Source organism: Homo sapiens, chromosome 9 (assembly GCF_000001405.40).
Source record: "Homo sapiens chromosome 9, GRCh38.p14 Primary Assembly".
NCBI classification, from domain to species: domain Eukaryota; kingdom Metazoa; phylum Chordata; class Mammalia; order Primates; family Hominidae; genus Homo; species Homo sapiens.
In genome coordinates, this window is record NC_000009.12 from 129,905,529 (window position 1) to 129,925,502 (window position 19,974).

Consider the following 19,974-nt stretch of genomic DNA (forward strand, 5'->3'; position numbering starts at 1 on the left):
TGAACTCCTGACCTCAGATGATCCACCCACCTCAGTCTCCAAAGTGCTGGGATTCCAGGCATGAGCCACCATGCCCAGCCGCTTCTATTTCCTTTGGGCTTAATTTGCTGTTCTTTTTCCGACTTCTTGAGATAGATCGTAAGTGAGGATCTAAGTGAGCTAAGGCTCAGTGATTTTTACCTCTGTTTTTAATATGCATTCAGAGCAATAAATCTCTCTATATGCGTGGCTTTAAGGACATCCCACAAACTATATATAGAATGTATGTTAAAGTTCAATTCTATTTCATATACTTTCTAATATCTACTATGATTTTTTGTTTAGTTTGTGGCTTATTTAGAGGCATATTTCTTTTTTTTTTTGTTTTTTTTTGAGACTGAGTTTTGCTCTTGTTGCCTAGGCTGGAATGTAATGGCGCGATCTCAGCTCACTGCAACCTCTGCCTCCTGGGTTCAAGCGACTCTCCTGCCTCATCCTCCCGAGTAGCTGGGATTACAGACATGCGCCACCACGCCTGGCTAATTTTGTATTTTTAGTAGAGATGGGGTTTCTTCATGTTGGTCAGGCTGGTGTTGAACTCCCGACCTCAGGTGATCTGCCTGCCTCAGCCTCCCAAAGTGCTGGGATTACAGGCATGAGCCACCGCGCCTGGCCAATTTCTTAATATTTGTTATTGGTATCCAGCTTAATTGCAGAATATAGATAATATAGCTTGAATGATACATTTCCTTTGATATTTATTGAGATTTGCTTTGTGAAACAAAGATATACTCAATTTTGAAAATGTTCTTATGTGGGCTTGAAAAGAGTGTTGATATGGTTTAGCTGTGCCCTGGCCCAAATCTCATCTTGAATTGTAGCTCCCATATCCCCATGTGTCATGGGAGGGACCCAGTGGGAAGTAATTGAATCATGGGGGCGGTTTTTCCCAGGCTGCTCTCGTAATAGTGAGTCTTATGAGCTCCAATGGTTTTATAAAGGGCAGTTCCCTTGCACAAGCTCTGCCGAATGCCACCATGTAAGACATGCCTTTGCTCCTCCTTTGCCTTCCGCCATGATTGTGAGGCCTCCCTATCCATGTGGAACTATGAGTCCATGAAACCTCTTTTTCTTTATAAATTACTCAGCCTCAAATATGTCTTTATTAGCAGCATGAGAATGGGCTAATACAGTGTGTGCCCTGCAGTTGTTAGATGTTTATGTATTAGGTCAATGTTACTAAATGTATAATTTAAGTCTTCTATACTAACTTTGAGCACTTTTTTTTTTTGAGACAGAGTCTCGCTCTGTTGCCAGGCTGGAGTGCAGCAGCACAGTCTTGGCTCACTGCAACCTCTGACTCCCTGGTTGAAGGGATTCTCCTGCCTCAGCCTCCCTAGTAGCTGGGATTACAGGCACACACCACCACTCCCAGCTAATTTTTGTATTTTTAGTAGAGATGGGGTTTCACCATGTTGGCCAGGATGGTCTCAATCTCCTGACCTCGTGATCCGCCCGCCTCCGCCTCCCAAAGTGCTGGGATTACAGGCGTGAGCCACTGCGCCTGGCCCAAGCACGTTTTTTTTTTTTCTTTCCTTTTATTCAGCCCAAAAGCCAGCCTTGTAACACCAGTTTCCTTTTGATTGGCCCTTGCATGGTATATCTTCTCTCCCATTTTTTTACTTCTACATTTCTAGAGCTTATAAGTTAGATGTGTCTTTTGTAGATAGCATACATTGCTTTGTGTATTGGGTTTTTAATTTTTTGGTCCATTCTGAGAATATCTTTTAATTGAAACACGTAGTTTGTTTACCTTTAACATATTGATTCATTTTATTTCGCAGACACTTATGTGCCAGGCACGGTTCCAAGCATGTTATGCACACTGACACATCAGCAGTAGTAACTGATAGAGCCAGATTTGACCCCAGGGTATCTGGAGTGCTTGGTATTTAACATCTATCATCCTACTTTGTGCTTTTTTCTTGGAGACGGGGTCTTGCTCTGTTGCCCAAGGTGGAATGCAGTGGTATACCTCTTGAGACAGATCCTTAGCTCTTGCTAGGAGTGAGGGTGTGTGTGTGTGTGTGTGTGTGTGTGTGTGTGTGTGTGTGTGTGTTATTTGACTGGCTTTTCCTACAGCTGTTTTAATGAATGCACCTTCCCCTCACAGAGGCCCTCCTCCTCTATGGCATCTCTGCTTTATGGCAAATGGGTTTTGATTTTTTTGTTTTGTTTTGAGACAGAGTCTCGCTCCATCACCCAGGCTGGAGTGCAGTGGCGCAATCTCGGCTCACTGCAAGCTCCGCCTCCCGGGTTCATGCCATTCTCCTGTCTCAGCCTCCCAAGTAGCTGGGACTATAGGCGCCCGCCACCATGCGAGCTAATTTTTTGTAATTTTAGTAGAGACAGGGTTTCACCGTGTTAGCCAGGATGGTCTCGATCTCCTGACCTTGTGATCTGCCCGCCTCGGCCTCCCAAAGTGCTGGGATTACAGGTGTGAGCCACTGTGCCCAGCTGGGTTTTGATTCTTAAGCAAACAGCTCACTGCAGCCTCCACCTCCCAGGCTAAAGCAATTCTCCCCACCTCAGCCTCCCAAGTAGCTGGGACTACAGGTGTGCCATCACACCCAGCTACTTTTGTTTATTTTTGTAGAGATGGGGTCTCACTATGTTGCCAAGGCTGGTCTCTCTCTCTTTTTTTTTTTTTTTTTGAGATAGGGTCTCACTCTGTTGCCCAGGCTGGAGTGCAGTGGCATGATCATAGCTCACTGCAGCCAGGACCTCCTGGGCTCAGGTGATCCTTCCACTTCAGCCTCCCAAATAGCTGGGACTACAGGTGCACACCATCATGCCTGGCTAGTTTTTTTCTTTTTTTTTTTTTTAGGGTTTTTGCTATGTTGCCTGGGCTGGTCTTGAACTCCCGGACTCAAGCGATCTTCCTGCCTCAGCCTCCCAAAGTGCTGGGATTACAGGTGTGAACCACCATGCCCAGCCTGAACTTGAATTTCTTTTCTTTTAATTTTTATTTTATTTTTAATTATTATTATTTTTTATTTTTTTGAGACAGAGGCTTGCTCTGTTGCCCAGGCTGGAGTGAAGTGGCATGATCTTGGCTCACTGCAACCTCTGCCTCCTGAGTTCAAGCAATTCTGCTGCCTCAGCCTCCTGAGTAACTGGGACTACAGACGTGTGCCACTGCACCTGGCTAGTTTTTATATTTTTAGTAGAGACGGGGTTTCACCATGTAGGCCAGGATGGTCTTGATCTCTTGACCTCAGGTGATCCACCCACCGCAGCCTCCCAAAGTGCTGGGATTACAGGTTGTGAGCCACTGCGCCTGGCCTTGAATTTCTTAATAAGTCATATTGATGCACTATACCTTTGATCCATCTCCTTCTGAATTTCTTTATTTAACTCATCGACTTTCTGCTGCAGCTTTTTCCTTCTTTGTTCAGGTGGGAGGTTGCTGAAATCCTCCGGTGTTGCACCCTGCAGACACAAATATAAATGAGAAACCAGAAAGCCCCAGGCTTTCCTTGAAAGAAGGCTGAAAGCAAAGCCTGCAGCCATGGGGGGTGCAGACATCTGCATGTGGCTTCATGAAATAGATTAAGCTCTTTCCCACTACACCCAGCCGAGATGCAAAAATCAATGCATGCAAACTGCATAAGTCCCATAAACCATTCCCAGTTCCATGGATGCTGGCCAGAATGCCCCAGAAAAAGCAGTGAGCAACGCTACAGTAAAGGAGAGTAAGAGATACTTCTGACTCTAGGGAGAATCCATGAAAAACACATTTTGAGACAGTCTTCTTCCTTTTCCTACCAAGTGTTACCATCAATGTCAGTGGCAACACTGAAGTGTTAATGAAATTTATGTTTCCTTAATACAAACCCCATCAACCACTGCACGCCTAGCTGCTGCCTTTTCCCTAGCGTGAGTATTCCTGCCAGTCTCTTCACACAGGCTGAGGCCAAAAGTCTCCACCCCTGTAAAGTGACAGATGGGACATCACATTCCTCAGAGAATGTGGGTGAAAAAGAACATTAAAAAAAAAAAATCTCTTCTCCTTACCCCATGCACACCTCCCTCTGCTGCCTCTAAAAGTCTAGTTACTTTTTTTTTTTCCTTGAGACAGAGTCTCACTCTGTTGCCCAGGCTGGAGTGCAGTGGTGCGATCTCAGCTCACTGCAACCTCTGCCACCCAGGTTCAAGCGATTCTCCTGCCTCAGCCTCCTAAGTAGCTGGGACTACAGGCATGTGCCACCACGCCCGGCTAATTTTCCACAGTCTCTAACTCTTGACTTCAGGTGATCTGCTCACCTTGGCCTCCCAAAGTGCTGGGATTACAGGCATGAGCCGCCGCGCCCAGCCTAGTGACTTCTTTTAGGCCTTTAGGAAGCCTCTCAGAGTTCAGAGAGAATGCCCTCCCTGACCTCAAAATCAGTTTTCCACAGTGTACGAAACTCATCTCCGCGGTTTTTAATCTGTCAGAAGAACTGCATTTTGATATCTTGATTCCCTTTTCAGAAGCAGCTGCTCTCTTTACACTGTGCATGAGCTTTAAGGAGAAAGTATCAACAGTTTCAGGCTTTGACATATGCTTACTTGTTAGAAAGCTCTGGCTAAATTGTGATGTCAAGTGCTTTTACTTAAGTGAGGCTATGTTCATAAAGAGAGAGAAATTTCGTGCTGGGCACGGTGGCTCATGCCTGTAATTCCAGCACTTTGGGAGGCCGAGGTGGGTGGATCATAAGGTCAGGAGTTTGAGACCAGCCTGGCCAACAATGTGAAACACCGTCTCTGCTAAAAATATAAAAAACTAGCTGGGCGTGGTGGCGAGCGCCTATAATCCCAGCTACTTGGGAGGCTGAGGCAGGAGAATTGCTTGAACCCGGGAAGCGGAGGTTGTAGTGAGCCGAGATCGTGCCGCTGTACTCCAGCCTGGGCGACAATGCGAGACTCCATCTCAAAAAAACAAAAAAAAAAAAAAAAGAGAGAGAGAAATTTCTTCAAATAACCAGGGATAAGCCAGGGCATTTAGAAAAGAGATTTTACTTTAAACCCTCAATTCTTTTGAAACAAGGGCAAGGCAGGCTTGGGGCAGGGTAGAAAGAGGAGACCCAGTTAATGTAATTCCAGAAGCAAGTTGCATTTGCCAAGCAGCTTACATGTGGGCTTATGACTGGGTTCCTAGGCTGATTATGATAAAATGCCAGGGTGATGTGCTGGGAAGTGTGTGATTCAGCAAATAGTTGACCACAAAAGGCCACGCAAAGACCTTTCAGCTAATGTTCTCAAAGACACACCCATCAGACACACTGACTGACTCTCTAATGTGTGTGTGTGTGTGTGTATGTGTGTGAGATAAGAGTTGAGTGAAACCAGAATGGAAGTGACTATTCCTAATAGCAAACCAAAGAAGTTTGACTCTAAATCTAAGATGAAGCAAAACTAACCTTTAATATAAAAATAAAGACTTGTTTTCCGTATACTATGGTGCTACAATATTTATTTGAAAACTGGATTATTCTGGATTATGGATTTCACCACGTTGGTCAGGCTGGTCTCGAACTCCCGACCTCAGGCGATCTGCCCACCTCGGCCTCCCAACGTCCTGGGATTACAGGAATGAGCCACCATGCGCGGCCTCTTGCTACAGTCTTTTGTTAAAATATCAGAGCACTTTCGACCTCAGAAAACAGAATCTCTCTATCTGACCTCCACGTGCCCTTCTTTCACCTGCCCAAGGCAGGATTCTGATTGTGGCCATATGATCCTCATTCAAGAGGCTTCATGAGGATCGTGCCCCATACCCTGAAGGAAGGAAGGCTGCACAGGGAGGCCAAGAAGAATCTGCACAGACAGGCCCTGCTGGGTGTCACTACCTGATCTATTAGGATGCGATCAGGCAGTTTCTGACCAATCTCATTTCCACATGGTTGTCCATGCTTCAATCATGTCTATCTGATGAAGTCTCATAAAAGGCCCAAGAGGACAGGGTTTTTGGGGAGATTCTTAGAGAGTGGCTGCCCGGGGAGGGCATGGATGCTCTGTGCCCCCTCCCCCACACCTTGCCCTAAGCATCTCTTCATCTGTATTTTTAATAATATCCTTTGTAATAAACCAGTAAATGTGGTGGCCAGGCGCAGTGGCTCACGCCTGTAATCCCAGCACTTTGGGAGGCTGAGGCAGGCAGATCAAAAGGTCAGGAGCTCGAAACCAGCCTGACCAACATAGAGAAACTCTGTCTCGACTAAAGACACAAAAAATTAGCCGAGTGTGGTAGCACCCGCCTGTAGTTCCAGCTACTTGAGAGGCTGAGGCAGGAGAATTGCTTGAACCTGGGAGGCGGAGGTTGTGGTGAGCCAAGATCACGCCATTACACTCCAGCCTGGGCGACGGGCGAGATTCTGTCTCAAAAAAAAAAAAAAAAACCCAAAAACAAACCAGTAAATATAAGTGTTTCCCTGAGTTCTGTGAGCTGCTCCTGCAAATTAATTGAACCCAAAGAGAGGGTCAGGGGAACCCCAACTTGAAGCTAGTCCATCAGAAGTCCTGGAAGCCTGGACTTGCGACTGGTGGGAAGGAGGGGGCAGTCCTTCAGGACTGAGCCCTCAACCCCCAGGATCAGCCACTATCTCCAGGTAGATAGCATCAGAATGGAATTGAATTAAAGGACACCCAGCTAGTGTCTGCTGCTTGATATATAGCGGAAGCCTCCACATATTTGGTCACAGAAATCTTCTCTGTTGATTGTCATAGTGGAACAGCAGAGGAAAAACGGTTTGAGTTTTATCAAATGAGCATGTTTTCCAGAACTGAGAATTTTTTAAAAGCTGGAATACAGCAAAACACAATGCTAAGATACACTGCTTCAGAAATCAGGAAATCTAGGCCAGGCGCGGTAGCTCATGCCTGTAATCTTGGCACTTTGGGAGGCCGAGGCGGGTGGATCACCTGAGGTCGGGAGTTTGAGACGAGCCTGACCAACATGGAAAAACCCCGTCTCTACTAAAAATACAAAATTAGCCAGGCGTGGTGGCGCCCGTCTGTAATCCCAGCTACTCAGGAGGCTGAGGCAGGAAAATCGCTTGAACCCGGGAGGTGGAGGTTGTGGTGAGCTGAGATTGCGCTACTGCGCACTCCAGCCTGGACAACATGAGTAAAACTCCATCTCAAAAAAAAAAAAAAAAAAAGTCACAAAATCTGGCAAGTGGTCAACATTCACCTCGTTAATATGTGCTGAGCCTTGCTATGTGCTGTGAGTCCAACAGAACTTTCTACAGTGATGGCAATGTTCTATGGCCGCTCTTTCCAACACAGAAGCCATGTGTGGCTGTGAAGCATTTGAAATGTGGCTGGTGAAATTGTGGAACTGAATTTTTAAAAATTTATTTAATTTTAATTAATTAAAACTCAACAGCGGTTGGGCGTGGTGGCTCACACCTGTAATCCCAGCACTTTGGGAGGCCGAGGTGAGCGGATCACCTGAGGTCAGTTCAAGACCAGCCTGGCCAACATGGTGAAACCCTGTCTCTACAAAAATTAGCTAGGCATGATGGCAGTTGCCTGTAATCCCAGCTACTCGGGAGGCTGAATCAGGAGAAACGCTTCAACCCGGGAGGCGGAGGATGCAGTGAGCCAGGATCATGCCACTGCACTCCATCCTCAGTGACAGAGCGAGACTCCATCTCAAAACAAAAACAAAAACAAAAAACTCAATAGCTACATATGGTAGTGGCTACCACACTGGACAACAGCTTTAGCCTCTGTGCAGGTGTATAAACAGGTGCAAAGAAATCTATCAGTAAAACACATTGTACTGATAACTTATAAATAGATAAGAAAACAACAAAGACAGGCCATAACAGGAGGAGTTGGTATGGGAAGAGAGGGTCATACACATGTACCTATGTTTTAAGTGGCTGGAGTTCTGTAAGAGAAGCTTGTTCTATGTACTAATAAAATCAAACCTGGCCGGGCCTGGTGGCTCACGCATGTAATCCCAGCACTGTGGGGGGCTGAGGTGGGCGGATCACCTGAGGTCAGGAGCTCGAGATTAGCCTGGCCAGCATGGTGAAACCCCGTCTCTACTAAAAATACAAAAATTAGCTGGGTGTGGTGGCGCGCCCCTATAATCCCAGCTACTCGAGAAGCTGAGGCATGAGAATCGCTTGAACCCAGGAGGTGGAGGTTGCAGTGAGCCGAGATCGCGCCACTGCACTCCAGCCTGGGGGACAGAGCGAGACTCTGTCTCCTAAAAGAAAAAAAAATCAAACCCTTGCTTGTTGACAGCTTCCCCCCACCCCAAAATAGCACAAGCTCCGTGTAATACTACTTTTTCAGATTTTGGGTTTTTTGTTTTGTTTTATAGTTTTTTTTTTTGAGACAGGGTTTCATTCTATCACCCAAGGCTGGAGCAGCCTCAACCTCCTGGGCTCAATCAATCCTTCTGCCTCAGCCTCCAGTATAGCTGGGACCACAGGCACAGACCACCATGCCTGGCTAATTTTTGTATTTGTTTGTAGAGTCAGGTTTCACCATGCTGCTCAGGCTGGTCTAGAACTCCTGGGCGCAAATGATCTGCCTGCCCCCACCTCCCAAAGTGCAGAGATTACAGGCGTGAGCCACCACACCTGGTCCCACATCTTTTTTCTTTTGTCTTTTTTTTTTTTTTCAGACATGGTCTCACTCTGTCACCCAAGCTGGAGTGCAGTGGCGCAATGATAGCTCACTGCAACCTTGAGCTCCTGGGCTCAGGCAATCTTCCTGCCTCAGCCTTCCAAAGCACTGGGATTCCAGGCACAAACCACCGTGCCCAGCCAGCGCTTCACTTCTTTGTTGCCTTCAAGGTAATGATATAAAGCAACAATTCAATACCAAGTTGGTAAAATAATTTGTATTTCAAACAGAAAGACTGCCTAAAAATATTACCTTTTGCTCCTAGCACCCAGACAAACAATGAATAAAGGGAAATAAGGAAACCCTGGCAGCTGAGAAGGCCTCCTAGTCAATAGATCCAGTTTCTCCCAAGTTCATACTGCAGATGAACTTGTAGTTCATTTAAGTATCTAGATCTCTTTCCTTCATGTAGAGACCTTAATCAAAGACTCTTCTCAGGATTTTATTTCACAGCCTAAGAAATGTTTATTTAATTTAATAAAATACTCTTTTTCTTTAAGGTTGGGTCCATTACCAAATACTAAGTCATGTTGAAAAAATTATGTATATACATACATATGTCTATATATATATATATATATATATATATATATATATATCTCACCATAAAATACTATCCTAGGTTATCAATAGTGTGCTTATAGTGCTGATCTTACTCCTAGTAGAACTGTCACAGTTGATCACTGTCCATTATTTTAGGATATTCTTAGCTGTGGAGTTTGAGAAGACTATGAAACTATTATACATATTTGAAGTATAGTTATAGGTTATGTTAGTTACTTTTAATAAATTTAATGATTAGTTTGACTGTTGACTAGGCATATACAATTAAGTAGAAACGACACAAAACACTGAGTGAATAATTCTAAAAAGGCTTAGGAGGCTCTTTTCACTGTCCATGAAATCATCTTGTGGCCTCTTGAATCAGCTATGCACAAGGCACCAACATATCTACGTCGCACCATAAAGATTCCACAGTCTTCCATTCCCACAGGTGGCCTCAAACCTGGGTAGCAGCTGCTGGCTGGGATCATTCCTGCACAGCTCCTCCAGGCTCCCAGATTTTTTCATCTACTTCTATGGTTCTCTAATAGCAACATTTTTCAACTATTAATTTACTTTTATTCAAAATGATCCAACAGACACCCCCCAAGATTTAATATTTACGTTCATATATATATATTTGGAGACAGAGTCTTGCTCTGTCACCCAGGCTGGAAGTCCAGTGGTATAATCTCGGCTCACTGCACCCTTCACCTCCCGGGTTCAAGCAGTTCTCTGCCTCAGCCTCCCAAGTAGCTGGGACTACAGGCGCACGCTGCCACGCCCGGCTAATTTTTTGGTTTTTTGTAGAGATGGGGTTTCACCGTGTTGCCCGGGTTGGTCTCGAACTCCTGAGCTCAGGCAATCCACCCACCTTGGCCTCCCAAAGTGCTAGGATTACAGGCGTGAGCCACTGCGCCCGGCCTTTACGTTAATATTTATATAGACACTTTAACATTTGTCCTCCTCTCAAGGCCCCAGGAATAACACCAAGTCGTGAGTTAAATGTTAATTTTCTTAGCAACTTGAAAAGATTAAGATCACCTCTATTAGATTCTGGACCTTTGTATCCAAGAAGTCTAATAAGGAAACACCAACAAAAGCACACGTAAGAGAAACACAAACCAAGTTAACTTTGAAGATACGTTGTGCATGGCATAGCATTCATAAAAGACACGCCAGAAAACCTGATTAGACTCAGGACATGCATGGAACAATTGTGCTTACCAGCTTGAGAGAAAGCTTCATGTAAAAATTGGAGAGGTATGGGAAAAATAGAGAGAAAGAGAGAGAGAAAGAGAAAAAAAAACAACAACACATCAGAAGAAGAGGAACTTGGTCAGTTCCGCCATATTAAAATAACACACACGTCTACCCGCTGATTTATAAAAATGACTTGTAGCAGATCTGTGCAAAAGTTCACAAGAAGGGCTGCTCCCTAATAACATTTTTCTTAGGCTCCACATTGCCAGAGCCAAAGATCAGATAGAAAAGGAGGGTTTCTGTTACAGGCCTGTACTGGCCACCTCAGCCTAGATGTAAATTAAAGTAAGCTTATAGTCAGTGACACATAATGACTATAAAAGAAAAAATACAGGGCCGGGTGCAGTGGCTCACACCTGTAATCCCAGCACTTTGGGAGGCCAAGGCAGGTGGATCACCTGAGGTCGGGAGCTCGAGACCAGCCTGACCAACACGGAGAAACCCTGTCTCTACTAAAAATACAGTATTAGCCGGGTGTGGTGGTGCACACCTGTAATCCCAGCTATTCAGGAGGCTGAGGCAGGAGAATCGCTTGAACCTGGGAGACGGAGGTTGCAGTGAGCTGAGGTCGCGCATTGCACTCCAGCCTGGGCAACAAGAGTGAAACTCCATCTCAAAAAAAAAACAAAAAAAAAAGAAAAAATATAATCACACAACCTTTTGTTCTCCAAATTTCCCATGGAAAGTTTTATACAGACGAAAACAAGTCTGAACACCAATTACTTCCATGACAGGAAAGTAATATTTTAATCTTAAGGAGCTCTAATAAATATAAACATTGACATGAAGGCAAAGTCTGAAATTGGTGAATTGGTAACAAAGGGCTGACTAGCATTGCTCTAAGAAACTACCTGCAGGACCCAGAATGCCTCTCGCAGCCAGGCTAGAGGCCAACATTCTCTCCCACCCGAGAAGTGTGTGCCACCCCTTGCTCCGTGGAGGGTGTCTGCTGATGCTTTCTATGAAACTCAGCCCTGTCCACAGGGGTTATTTGGAGAATTATCCACTGTGACTGCTCTTTTTTTTTTTGAGACAGGGTCTCACACTATCGCCCAGGCAGGAGTGCAGTGGCGTAATCTCGGCTCACTGCCACCTCCGCCTCCCAGGTTCAAGCGATTTTCCTGCTTCAGCCTCCTGAGTAGCTGGGATTACAGGTGCCTGCCACCACGCCCAGCTAATGTTTTGTATTTTTAGTAGAGACGGGGTTTCGCCTTGTTGGTCAGGCTGGTCTTGAACTCCTGACCTCGTGATCCGCCCGCCTCCCAAAGTGCTGGGATTATAGGTGTGAGCTACTGTGCCCAGCTGTGACTGCTCTTTTTAAAGTATTTATTTACTTATCAATTTGCTGATTTTTGGTTTTGTTTTTGGAGACAGGGCAGGTTGCATGGTGGCACAATCCCAGCTCACTGAAGCCTCAACCTCTAGAGCTCAAATGATCCTCGCACCTCAGCCTCCTGAGTAGCTGGGACTATAGGTACGTGCCACCACGTCCAGCTAAGTTTTGTATTTTTTGGTAGAGATGGGGGTTTCACCATGTTGCCCAGGTTGATATCGAACTCCTGAGCTCAAATGATCCACCCACCCCAGCCTTCCAAAGTGCTGGGATTACAGGTGTGAGCCACCACACACAGCCTAAAAAACTAATTCTTAATTTAAGATTGATTCAAAGTTGACACTTCCTTGTAAATAAAAAATAACCTTTTAAATAAATTGTCCCTATATAGAAACATGAGATTTTAAAGGAAAGAACCAGAAAGACAAACTTTTGCAGGGGGAAAATGGTACATACAGTCACATTCCTGACTGTCTGACATGGGCAGTCTACAGTGATTCCAGCCCGCCTGTGAACTTGAGCATAGATCTACTTATCACAACTGGAATTCATTGTACGCACAGACAAGACTTATGGTGCACAGCAGAAAACTCCAAGTATCTTTCCTACAAGGCACACTATCATATACAGATATTTTCTCACACATTATTGTCTAAACATTGCTAATTCAAAGAACTAACATTTCAACTAGATACACTATTTGCTCTCTACTCGGCTACTTTCTTTACGCAAAGTTATATATTCTTTCTTAAGCATTCCACAGACAGAGTTCTCACCTCAAAATATTGTATAGGAAGATTATTAACACTTCATAGTAAAAACGAGTCATTAGGATTGAACAGAAATCCCCATTGAATAGGAAATACCAAATTCTCAGACAAATTCGACTTTATTTGTGATGGATGATCTATTAATACAAGAAGTGCCATCACAGTACGTGGAATTTCTTTTTAATCATTATATACTGGTTTTCAGTCTGAAGTTGTAAGCCAGCCAATTAGAATTTCTCTTAAAATTAGAAAGCGAAATCATTGGCTAAAATAATAATTTTGAAGATTTCATTAAGTGCATTGCTAGACACCTGAAGAATTAAAAAGCTGTCAGTTTCAGGCGACAGTTAAAGAGCCGTGGGAGCCACAAGCGTCAATAACACATGGGGAACACAGCCCAGGCGAGTCCATGTGTTATTGGACAGTCACAGTACTAACCTCAAGTACAAAGAAAGGGGACAGTGAAAATAAATATATATAGAGAGAAGCAAAATCATTTTACTGTGCTAGGAGATCGCTCACGCTTCCTTGATTTGTTTGTTTGTTCTCCAAGCTTTAGGGCATAACTCCCTTATGGATCCATTTGTTACAAACATGGATATGGGTGACTGAGCTACACTGCCGTCTGTAAGAGCGTCACTCTCCCGTGACCACGCACTGCAGCTGTGTTTTATGCGTGAAATTCTGCGGTAAAGTCATACCCAATGACATCTCAGACGGCAGTCACAGTCCCTTTAAAGATTTTACCAGAACTAGAATGAAAAGAGAAAAACAAAAAAAAAAACAAAAAAACAAGCTCAGCTCACCACTGTTATTAGAAAGTTTGCTTCCTTTATTCATGCAAGCTTTTCGGATAAAGTTCCGTATGGTTGAATTTATACAATTAGGCTTTTCTTTTTTTTTTTTTTTCCTGGTGTCCAGTTCTCTCAATTAAGAATTTCATTTCGTAGTGTGGAAGCATAACAAGTGCCTCTGGGTCCCCAGTCTTGGTGCTGTGAATGGGGTTAGTGGCTGTGCCATGACTGTATGACCTGGCCATCACAGGTGAACTTACAACATAGTCCCTAGCCTCAAAGGCATACGTGGGTTTCCCTATCGTCCTCTTCATGAGTTCTTTGTGAAAACAGAAAGACTGAGTCTGCCAATAACCAGCAAGAGAACAAGATAAAATAAATAAAATTAACCATAAGACTTTAACATATGACAAACAACTGGTAAGGATTTTCAAAATCTTTCGGTCAACTTTGATGGTATTTTTCCATACAATGAACTCTAAAATATGAAAAACGTACATCCATATTTTAGATATAAAAGTCTCTTGCACAGGCCAGAAAATGAAACTTTAATTTAAGCAATAAAATTCCCCTTTGTAGACTGCAAATGGAGAACATGCTATCTAGTTTCATTTTTCTTCAACTTACATAAAAATGAAACAATGGTTAATGTTCTGGCGGCATCTCTAAACATATTCAGTGAAACAAAATTTCCTTACAAATGTCAACAGCTTACAACAAATAACATTTTATCCTGTTTAATTATTTAGAAACAAAATCAGTTATGCTGAGATATGTTTGCATGGGATTTATATACTCTGATCATAGAAACAAATTATTGACATCTGAATCTGAAAGCTGCAAAACATGATAAAAGACATAATAAAATCACAGATTTGTTATTCTCTCAGGAACTTTTTCTAGTTAAATTATCGTTGGCATAATGCTGTTAAGTTACAAAGTAGAATAAATGAGAAGGTAGGAAGGGCTGTACCATGTTGGTCACGGAAGCTGTCAGCCATGCCATGGATGTCCCATGCAAGATCCATGTTGAGACTGCTTAAAAATGAAATCTATTTCTCCAAACTTTAGATTTGCTTTTTGAGCTTGTGCTTCCTCTTTTTTTGCACTGCTATGTCCTAGAGGAAGGAACATTAATTCTGACCCTAAGAACAGAATGACCAAAAGTGAGGGAAGCAAAACTATTTCTCTATTTCTTTACGATTGCTTCTAGTGGGTATATGTATGTGGTTTAACCTCAGGAAAATAAACACATCATTTGGGAAATTTTTTTTAACAAAGATTTGCTGAGCACACGTTTGAGGAGTAAGAAATAAAATTCATACTGCTGATTATGGTAAAACAGAGATTTTCCTTTAAATCATCAAAAGAACCAGTTTCCGATTCCCATTTCACTGTTTTAAGTGTTAATCTTTTTTTTTTAGACGGAGTCTCACTCTGTCACCCAGGCTGGAATGCAGTGGCATGATCTCGGCTCACTGCAACCTCTGCCTCCTGGGTTCAAGTGATTCTCCTGCCTCAGCCTCCTAAGTAGCTGGGATTACAGGTGTGCACCACCATGCCCAGCTAATTTTTGTATTTTTAGTAGAGACAGGGTTTCACCATGTTGGTCAGGCTGGTCTCAAACTCCTGACCTCGTGATCCACCCACCTCAGCCTCCCAAAGTGCTGGGGTTACAGGTGTGAGCCACAACGCCCAGCTTATCTTTTTCTAACCATCCTTTTCTTACATTTATTGATTACTGAATTCTTTGGTCTTTTTCTAAATAGTTAGAGAATATCATGAACCACAGATTCACAAACCATTTTTGGCCAACAGACTGTGTAATGTTAAGAGAAAACTGGAATAGACACATAAACAAATGGTAAACAATCATGAATATTCATCATGAGAGTCCAAAAAAATACAGAGATAATATATAAATATAACACATGAGTGCTTGGTAAAGCGGCAGAGATGGGTTAACTGACAGTTCATATGAAACTTTCAGTCTAGCAAAAACACCCTTGTCTTGGAAATTCTTGGATTAACAATGAGTGGAGTTCTAAACGCCAGCATCGTTGAGCCAAGAAGCTGCAGATTACTCAAGTCCTAATTATACATCTCAGCTCAATCCATCATCCACTTTTGAAGCTGTATTCTGCCTTCCACCAACGGCTTTTTTCACATCTTTAGGAAATTACATTTCTAATTCTTAACCTGATATGATAGATAGCATTAAAGCAAGATAATTCAAGATAATTCTACCAACTATAAATTTGAGATTCTCATATTAAAAGAACTCTGCATGTGAGGAAATATTGTTTTGTCCCCTATTTTTAAAAAGCATTGATAATAAACTTGTTATCAATTATGAATTTACATTCTTTACTTTTTTTTTTTTTGGAGAAAGGGTCTCACTCTGTTGCCCTGGCTGGGCTCCAGCAATCCTCTCATCCCAGCCTCCGCTAGGACTACAGGCACATGCCACCATGCCTGGCTATTTTTTCATGGGTTTTTTTTTTTTCTTTTTTGAGACAGAGTCTTGCTCTGTCGTCCAGGCTGGAGTGCAATAGCGTGATCTTGGCTCACTGCAACCTCCACTTCCCAGGTCCAAGCGATTCTCCTGCCTCAGTTTCCCGAGTAGCTGGGATTACAGGCACCCGCCTGTAATTAGCCGGACATTAACCATGCCCGGCTAATTTTTGTATTTTTAGTACAGACGGGGTTTCACCATGTTGGTCAGGCTGGTCTCGAACTCCTGACCTCAGGTGATCCGCCCTCCTCGGCCTCCCAAAGTGCTGGGATTACGGGCATGAGCCACTGTGCCAGGCCTCTTTTTTACACAGAGTTGTTTTTGTGGAAATACGATTGTCAGGTTAACAATGACTACTGTTATTCTTTTACTAGTAACCAGCTGTTGATTCCAAGTCTAAGAAGGACATCTCTCCTCTAGTTAATTAGTTGTAGTTTAGAATCTTTTCCCAGGCCAATGTGTCAGTTGACACTCAAGAAAGGATGGCATCCACCTCTGGCTTTGGGGCACTACCAGGTACTATTTGGAAAGAAGTAACCCAACCGTCAGTTGACTGGAGAGTCCAGGAGAAGGGAAAAGTAAAACTTATGTTTGTACAAGAAAGCATTCCACTACAACTGTATTGCAACTCCCACAGGGTAGGATTTAAAAAAAAAAAAAAGGAGAAAACCTTACTGGATATGTTAACGCTGCTGGGATTACAGGCGTGGGCCACTGGGCCCAGTCTAAAGATCTGTTTACTCATTATATTCATTATAAAAGATATTTTGGGAAGGCTTAGACTAGACTGGCCATTGAGAATGATTTGGGAATCTACACATTGCTTTATGCCAATCTTTCTCTGTAAACGAAACTGGTATCTACATTGGATGGCTGCATCAATTCCATTATCTCTATGATGTAAGCGCACATCAATCTTAATGAGGACAGCGGACTTCAATCTTAATAACAACCACTTACGAGTCAATATAGTAGTTTCTCCCTGAATGTGGATGTCACAGAATCTCAGACTCTGTAATCAGACTCCCCGGATCTAAATCCCGGCTCTGTATCTTCCCACCTTCACCTTTTTATGCCTCAATTTCCTTACAGTAAAATAAGGAAATATGAGTACTACCTGGGCTTCATAGGGTGGCTGGAAAAAAGTAAATGAGCACACAGAACAGAGCTTTGCACACAATAAGTGCTCAGTAAGTGTCAGCTGCTTTTATTGTTTCATCCTTTAAAGAGAAATTCTGCATCAGGCCCCTTCCAATCAACAGATATTTTATCAACATCTTATATAATCTCACTAAAATAGCGAATGAAACCACTGTGACTTATGACTCTTCTCCTTTCGACCCTGAGGCATAGCTCAGGCAAGTATCTTCATTACACTCACATTGCTTCAGTAGTTATTAAGGCAATATTTTCTGACTTACACAGTGACTTCCAATTCCTCATCTCATAGGTTGCTAGTTTTATGTTTTTATTATTTATTATTTTTTTTTAGAGATGGGGTTTGACTATGTTGTACTGGCTGGTCTTGAACTCCTGAGCTCAAGTAATCTTCCTGCCTCGGCCTTCCAAAGTGCCAGGATTACAGGCATGAGACACTGCGCTTGTCCTATTAATTTTTATATATTTTTTTAAGAGATGGGGGTCTCACTATGGTGTCCAAGCTGGTTTTGAACTCCTGAGCTCAAGCAATCCTCCTGCCTTGGCCTCCTAAAGTGCTAGGATTACAGATGTGAACTATCACGCCCAGTCTCAGGTCGCTAGTTTTAGAAATGAAATCTAAGTGGTTTTTTTTGGTAAAATTAAGGTAGAAAATGCATGACTTGGATGCTTTAAAGAGGAAGAGGGGTAAAGTCCTTCCAAAATGTACTAGAAACGAAAAGAAAAAGGCCGGGCGCAGTGGCTCACACCTGTAATCCCAGCACTTTGTAAGGCCGAGGCGGGCGGATCACAAGGTCAAGAGATCGAGACCATCCTGGCCAACATGATGAAATGCTGTCTCTACTAAAAATATAAAAAGTAGCTGGGCGTGGTGGCATATGCCTGTAATCACAGCTAATCAGGAGGCCGAGGCAGGAGAATCGCTTAAACCCGGGAGGTGGAGGTTGCAGGGAGCCGAGATCACGCCACTGCACTCCAGCCTGGTGACAGAGCGAGACTCTGTCTGGAAAAAAAAAAAAAAGAAAGAAACAAATAGAAAGAACTCTGGGCTGTCTGGTTTTCTCCTTTCTTCCAACCACCATGCTTCCTTCTTTCTTTCTTCCTCTTTCTGGCTTTTCTTTCTAGCTATAATGGTTTTTGTTTTTTTTTTTTTAACTTTTTTATATGTTATGGGAAAACACAATGGATTCATTCACAAACAAAATTAGTTATGCAGAACCAAACATGCAACCAAAGCACGCCAGAGAGACAGGATTCCGGAGCAGAACTTACCCCACGCTTTAGGCTCCTGAAGCAGTGGATTTTGGGTTTGGAGGTCATGAACTCGTTGAAGCGATGGGAGAGGGGTTCCTTTTGCTGCTTGGGAGACTGGGGGCCGTTGGGAACAGCAGAGGGTGAGGCAGAGGCAGGAGGGGGAGGGGGAGGCTGATGGGGGGATGTTAAAAGGGACATAAGCTACATGTAAGAGATGGAGCCGTGACAGAGTAAAAATCAGAAACAAGAAGACACAAAACAAAAATAAGCATCAAATAATATTTGAAATCCAACGCAAGTAAAACACAAACAATTAAATTTTAGGCCATGGTCCAAAAGAAAACATGTAGGAGGTGGTTAAATGAAGAATATGATGAGAGTTGGGAGGTTTAGTAAGTAATGCGACAGAAGAGCAAGAAATATCTGACAAGAAGCTCGTGCAGACTTTCCCATGCAAACTATAGCTCTAGTTAGTTACTCTAAACCAGCTTAAGCCAGAGGGTAAATATTTCTACATTACCTAAACTAACATAGCTTGATGGGAGAAAATGAAAGACCTTCAATGCTAAGGTTGTGGAAACAGCAGTCTGTTTAAATTAATAAATAGTAAGTCATTCTAAAGTTAAAGCAGTAATGCTGCCTTGATCATATTCTACGTCCCCAGGTTAATGCTGTCATGCACCTATGTATCGCACTATGAAAAGAAAATGAAAAATGTTCATGGGTACACATGTTAACATGAATTCAAAACCAAGTTATTAACATGGTAACGATTTCCAGTAGATGTGCGGATAAAGTGTTACAGGAATGTCCCACTACATCCTCTCTCCCAGCCAAGGTAACCAGCAGTCTAGGAGAGGAAGGAGGGAAAGGCATGAGGCGAAACGGTGGAGAGGTCAGTACTCTGTTAGTGTGGGAGTCACGGTACGAGGATAATGCATCTGAAATAAGACACAGGGCCATGGCAAAGATACCACCACCAAAAAGAAATACTGTCTCAACATAAGGTAGCACACTAGCTTCTTCTTTTGCATTCTGAAACTACAGGTTTAGGATCTTAGTTTTTCTAAGACTAAAAGATCAAGTCAAAATCTCCACACCTTAGAAAACTCATTTCACGCCAACCATCAGTACCTTATTTTTTTTGATGAACGGCCATAACTTTCCTTTGGATTTGCCACCAAATTTGAGGTCTGGTTTGCCTTCTCCTCTGGAATTTGAAAGGCTGTTATCTGACACAGTGCGCTTCATTGGCTGAGTGTAATCCTCAAATTCAATGTCTCCAGGAGGCTCAAACCCTGATTTATAAGCTTCTATTACCAGCTGTGAATCCTGAAATTATACCCACAAGCATATAAATACATTCAGAAGCATGCAAACACTTTTTAAACAATGAATTGGCCAGGTGCGGTGGCTCATGCCTGTAATCCCAGCACTCTGGGAGGCAGAGGCGGGTGGATCACGAGGTCAGGAGATCAAGACCATCCTGGCTAACATGGTGAAACCCCGTCTCTACTAAAAATACAAAAAATTAGCCAGGCGTGGTGGCGGGCGCCTGTAGTCCCAGCTACTCAGGAGGCTGAGGCAGGAGAATGGCATGAACCCAGGAGGCGGAGGTTGCAGTGAGCTGAGCTCGCGCCACTGCACTCCAGCCTGGGCGACAGAGTGAGACTCCAT

The 19,974-nt window shown here is 43.3% G+C and overlaps 1 protein-coding gene across 39 annotated transcripts in view, besides 1 other annotated feature; it reads right to left on the reverse strand.

Moving 5' to 3' along the window:
• The window catches only part of FNBP1 (formin binding protein 1), a 166,693-nt gene that overhangs the window by 18,342 nt on the left and 128,377 nt on the right, over positions 1 to 19,974 (reverse strand). For 6 of the 39 annotated variants that reach the window (NM_001439055.1, NM_001439042.1, NM_001439041.1 and 3 more), the window contains 3 exons: positions 19,432 to 19,629; positions 18,316 to 18,498; positions 3,362 to 3,471 (listed from right to left, as the gene is read on the reverse strand). In NM_001439055.1, coding sequence (NP_001425984.1) covers positions 3,362 to 3,471; positions 18,316 to 18,498; positions 19,432 to 19,629 — 491 coding nt within the window. Of the gene's footprint in view, positions 1 to 3,361; positions 3,472 to 10,437; positions 10,453 to 13,630; positions 13,715 to 18,315; positions 18,499 to 19,431; positions 19,630 to 19,974 lie in introns of all 39 variants that reach the window. The other 33 variants (NM_001438006.1, XM_011518401.2, XM_017014492.3 and 30 more) reach the window with 13 other exon arrangements.
• Positions 5,022 to 5,316: a silencer, noted in NCBI's record as "tiled region #1290; HepG2 Repressive non-DNase unmatched - State 10:DNaseD". NCBI's record gives its function as "represses a minimal TATA promoter and a strong SV40 promoter by Sharpr-MPRA in HepG2 cells {active_cell/tissue: HepG2}" and the evidence as "EXISTENCE:reporter gene assay evidence [ECO:0000049][PMID:27701403]".